Raw genomic sequence first — 4,912 nt, forward strand, 5'->3', positions numbered from 1 at the left:
TTGGTCAGGTCTTTCCCTTCCCACGAGGCCATATCTCAGGCTATCATATGGGGAGAAACCTTGGACAATACCTGGCTTTCCTATGCAGTGGTCCCTGCGGCCTTCCGCAGTGTTTTGTGTCCCTGGGTACTTGAGATTAGGGAGTGGTGATGACTCTTAACAAGCATGCTGCCTTCAAGCATTTGTTTAACAAAGTACACCTTGCACAGCCCTTAATCCATTTAACCCTGAATTGACACAGCACATGTTTCAGGAAGCACAGGATTGGGGGTAGGGTTATAGATTAACAGCATCTCAAGGCAGAAGACTTCTTCTTAGTACAGAACAAAATGGAGTCTCCTATGTCTACTTCTTTCTACACAGACACAGTAACAATCTGATCTCTCTTTCTTTTACCCACAACCTCCCCGTTTGGGGTCATAATAAAAGGTGTGGAACTTGGTGTGTGTTTAGGGTAATTCTACCAGCCCCTTCCCAAAGAAGCTCATGTTCTCCTCACAGGATCTCCATCATCATAGTGATCACAGCACTGACAATAGATGCTTCCCTTGCTGAAGTGGCGATAGAGGGTGTCACAGGGCTTTGGCCTGCACTATGCATTTCTCAGTGGCACATAGTGTGCAGGTGTTGGAGCCAGGGGGCTGGGTTTGAATACTGGCAGCTGCGTAAGCATGGAGAAGTGGCTTGACCTCCATGCTTTAGTGTCCTCTCTATAAAGTACAGTTAATAATAGAGTTGGCTTTATGAGTTGTTGTGAGAATTAAATGAATATATCTAGGGAGTTAGGACAGGGCCTGGCCTGTAGTAAGGGCTCTGAGTCTGTGGAGTAAGTATTATAAAGAAACCTGTCTTTAGCTGACTGGCAAGTCTAGACCTTGAATCAGGGCTTCTGACTCCGGGATCCACTTCTGACTCAGCCGGGAACAGAAGGGTGATGTTCAAAAGCCCCAGGGTGGTTCATGTGGGCACATCCACACCCTCAGAACATAGAAGCCTCCAGCAGAATCCCTGTCAGGTGCTCCCTCTGAGTCAGTGGCACACTGGGCACATTGTCATTAATTATACTCAGAGCAAGGATGTGTCAATGTTCCCATACCCCACTTCTGCAGCTGCAAACAGCTGGGGAAACTGAACAGAAACCCATGGCATTTTTATCAATGTTCATATGCTATTCCTGCCTTCTTAGCCTCCCAACTGCTGACTACTTTGGTATTTAAGGACAATAGGCAACTAGGGATTCAGTTGAACATCTGACCTGACGTTCATGGTGGCAAAACTTGAATCTTCTCCCCTTACCTGGTGTGAGTGAGGTGGTTCTTGGACATGTGACTCCTAGGAGCTGGAGATCCTGGGTCTGGTGAACACACAATGTTTACATAACAAGCTCCAGGACCTACCGGAGATGAAATGAGATTCTTCCTACTAGGTGGGATGCCCAGATTCGCTAGTTTATGATTTTGAGGGGACTCCTATCTCCCAAATTGAGCTGGGAGGACATCGGGACTGAGGTGAAACATTGGTCACCCGGAATATTCTCCACTCAGCTTTCCACAAAACAAAGGGGGACAATTCCTCTGTTGTGACCACAGACTCTTTGCTTGGCAGTTTCAATCATCTTCTAACTGATCGCTAGCCTTCTGTTATGCCCCTTCTGATCCATCCTCAAGTGGCCACAAGGAGAACTCTGTGAAATACAAATATGGATATGTCATTTCCTTGCATAAAATTCTCTCACAGTCCCCCTCCTGTGGTCTAGACCAGCACTGTTCCATAGGACTTCCTATGATGGTAGAAATGTCCTATATCTGCTCTGCCCAATAGCCATATTGGACAGCTGGGTGGCTGTATGGCTACTGGACAGAGCAGATATAGAACCCTTACTCACAAGTGGCTACTGAGCACTTGAAATGTGGGTGCTTGTCTGAAGAATGGGATTTTTAATTGTATTTCATTTTAGCCAATTTAAATTGTCACATATGGCTACCATATTGAACTGCACAGGTCTAGAGAATAAAATCCGAAGTCTCAGGCACAACCCAGTTCTCCCTATCTGAGCAGCCTAAATTTTTTGCCAGAATTCATTCAAGTTGGGAATTCCAGCCCTAACAAATGGCTTACAACTCCTTAAACATTGTGCCTACTTCACACCTCCATGCATTTGCATCTGCTGTTCTCTCTGCCTGGAATGTTCTCATACCTTGCCTAAACTCACAAGCTGCCTGTTTCAACAACCCACTTTCATTAAGTAATAAGTAACTCCAGTGTTACCTCTACTATCAAGGTTTACCAACCACCCCTGCCCATCTCCCCAAATCAGAATTAATCGCACCTTTGCGCATCCAGCACAGACATGCTTAGAGGCCCTTCCAGCACTTATAGCACCGATGTGTCTCCCATCTGCTCCCTCCAAGGGTAAAGGCAGGCTCCTGAAGAGACAGTCCTGTGTCTATTCCCCTTTGGGTTTCCACTGCCTAGGATTGATTTTAATCATATAAAGCAGTCATTGGATGATGGCTGAAGAAATAAAATTATCATAGCAGACATATGTCACAGTATGGGTTGTCTTGCATCCAACTTCCTGCCTTATTCTACCTCTGGGACACCCTGGGACATCTCTTTATGTGTGGCCTTGAGATTTAGGGGAAGTCAAAAAGAAGATCCTCCTCTCACTGCCCTAGTCAATTCTTCCAGGGACTGATGGAACCATGAGAGATGCAGTAATGCCAGGGCAAATATAGCATTTCTGGGCCTTAGCATTTCTGTTGCCCAGTTTGCCAGCAGCTCTAAGATTGGGTCTCCAGTCTCTTGTCAAGCATGCCCTGATGGGCTTCCAAAGATTCCCTGAGATAGTCAGCTACCTCCTGGTAGTTGGCTACCAAGTGACCTTCATCAGCAGTTATGCAGATAAAGATTCCAGGTCAACGGGGTCCTGCAAGAGAGGAGGGTATGTCATCCTGTAAGGAGATTTGATGGATGATGGGGTGAACTACTACAATGCACACAGCTGCAGTCGAAGCTAGAGCAAAAGACCCCCAGCATGCTAGGGAGGACACACCTGAAACTGGAGGGAGGTGAAACTGACGATGCCAGGGGCCTGGCCCATGCCAGCAGGGCAGAGCACCATCCACTCCAGCCAGGGTGGCTGGGTTAGCTGGGTGACTACATGCTGGGCCATAGTTTGGGCTGAGGGAAAGAAGGTAGGTTACCTTGGAGGTTCCAAATAATGCTGAAAGATTGTTTTGATAGGAATTGGGAGACCGGGGGTCATGGTGGGGATCTGGGGTCCTATTGGCAAGTATTTTTGGTTGGATTTCTAGTGTCTTAAATAAACATACCTTCAAATACATTGTAAACTGAGAGCTTCGTTCATCTGTTCAACAAAGTTTGTGAAAAGCCTCTTTGTACGAGGGACCATGCATGCCAGCACTCTTTCCCACCTCCAGCCTTTGCCCAAATTGTGTCGTCTTCCTGGGTTGCTCTTTTTGCCTTGTCTTAGCAGCTCCTACCCATTAGTCACACTCAGCTTAAATGTCATTTCCCCACAGAAACCTTCCTTGACACCCAGATTAGATCAGCTGGACCAGATTAAGTCTCCTGGTAGCTCACTTTATAGCACTTACCATAGCTGTAGTTGTATAGTTATTCGTGGGGTCATTTGAAGAAAGCCTCTCCTCCTTGCTAGATGGCAGGCTCCACAAAGGCAGGGATGGTGCCTGTCCTGTTAACAGATACATCCTCAGCACCTCATAGCACAGTGCCTAACACTCAAACATTTGTTGAGTGATGAACAAAGGAGAAATGGTACAGAGGAAAGGAAGGAGGGAAGGGAGGGAGGGAGGGAGGGAGGAAGGAAGGAAAGAAGAAGGAAGGAAGGAAGGAAGGAAGGAGAGAGAGAGAAAAGAAGGGAAGATTTCAGAGAAGGAAGGAAGGTGAGAGAGAGAGAAAAGAAGGGAAGATTGCTGCATTCCCTCTTGGCCCTCTGTGTGCCCACAGTATGTTACTGTGTGTTACTTGTCCCCACTTATGCTCCTTACTCTTAAAAGAGGAAATAACAAGTGGCCTCTATAGGCCAAGCACTCGAAGCCCTGGGACCCTGCACCCCTGCCAAGCAGGGTACCACTGCTGTGTCTTAGCCATCCTCCTCAACTTCACACCAGGTCCTCTGTAGGGTCCTGGACAAAGACAACTCAAAATAAACTCCCCACTTTCCCAAACTACTGATACAAGGGTGGTAGGTATCCAGTGTTTTATTCTGAAGCTCAAACATCAGATAATATAAAGACAATATTTCCTTATTAGTATTTTGCACATTACACCTGGGGAGAATGAAGACTTATAAAAACTGAGCACTATGTCCACCCAATGTATACCCTGAAGAGGATCCTAGACAACACAAAGGACATAGTAGAAAAATTGGCAAAATCTGAAGAGACTTTGTAGTTTCACTAACAGTATTGTACCAATGTTAATTTCTGAGTTTTGACAAATGTTCCATAGCTATGTATGATATTGACATTTGGGGGAAATAGGTGAAGGGTATATGGGAACTCTGCATCATGTTTGCAACTTTTGTGTAAATCTAAAATTATTCCAAAATAAAAAGTTAATTTAAGAAAAAAGGCTGGGCACAGTGGCTCACACCTGTAATCCCAGCACTTTGGGAGGCCAAGGCAGGTGGATCATGAGGTCAGGAGCTCGAGACCAGCCTGGCCAAGATGGTGAAACCCCATCTCTACTAAAAATACAAAAATTAGCCAGGTGCTGTGGCAGGCGCCCGTAATCCCAGCTACTCGGGAGGCTGAGGCAGGAGAATCGCTTGAACCCAGGAGGCGGAGTTTGCAGTGAGGCAAGATCGCACCACTGTACTCTAGCCTGGGCAACAGAGTAAGACTGTATCTAAAAAAAAAAAAAA

At 46.2% G+C, this 4,912-nt stretch overlaps 1 long non-coding RNA gene across 1 annotated transcript; it reads right to left on the reverse strand.

Annotated features, from left to right (window-relative positions):
- Positions 1-1,491: 1,491 nt before the first annotated feature.
- Positions 1,492-3,710, reverse strand: LOC105377052 (uncharacterized). The gene is made up of 3 exons (XR_940778.1): positions 3,621-3,710; positions 2,330-2,471; positions 1,492-1,684 (listed from the first exon to the last, which is right to left on the reverse strand). It is a non-coding gene; the product is annotated as an uncharacterized LOC105377052 (long non-coding RNA).
- Between the last annotated feature and the right edge of the window lie 1,202 nt (positions 3,711-4,912).

The sequence above is a fragment of the Homo sapiens genome, chromosome 3 (genome assembly GCF_000001405.40).
Source record: "Homo sapiens chromosome 3, GRCh38.p14 Primary Assembly".
In the NCBI taxonomy this organism is placed as follows: Eukaryota; Metazoa; Chordata; class Mammalia; order Primates; family Hominidae; genus Homo; species Homo sapiens.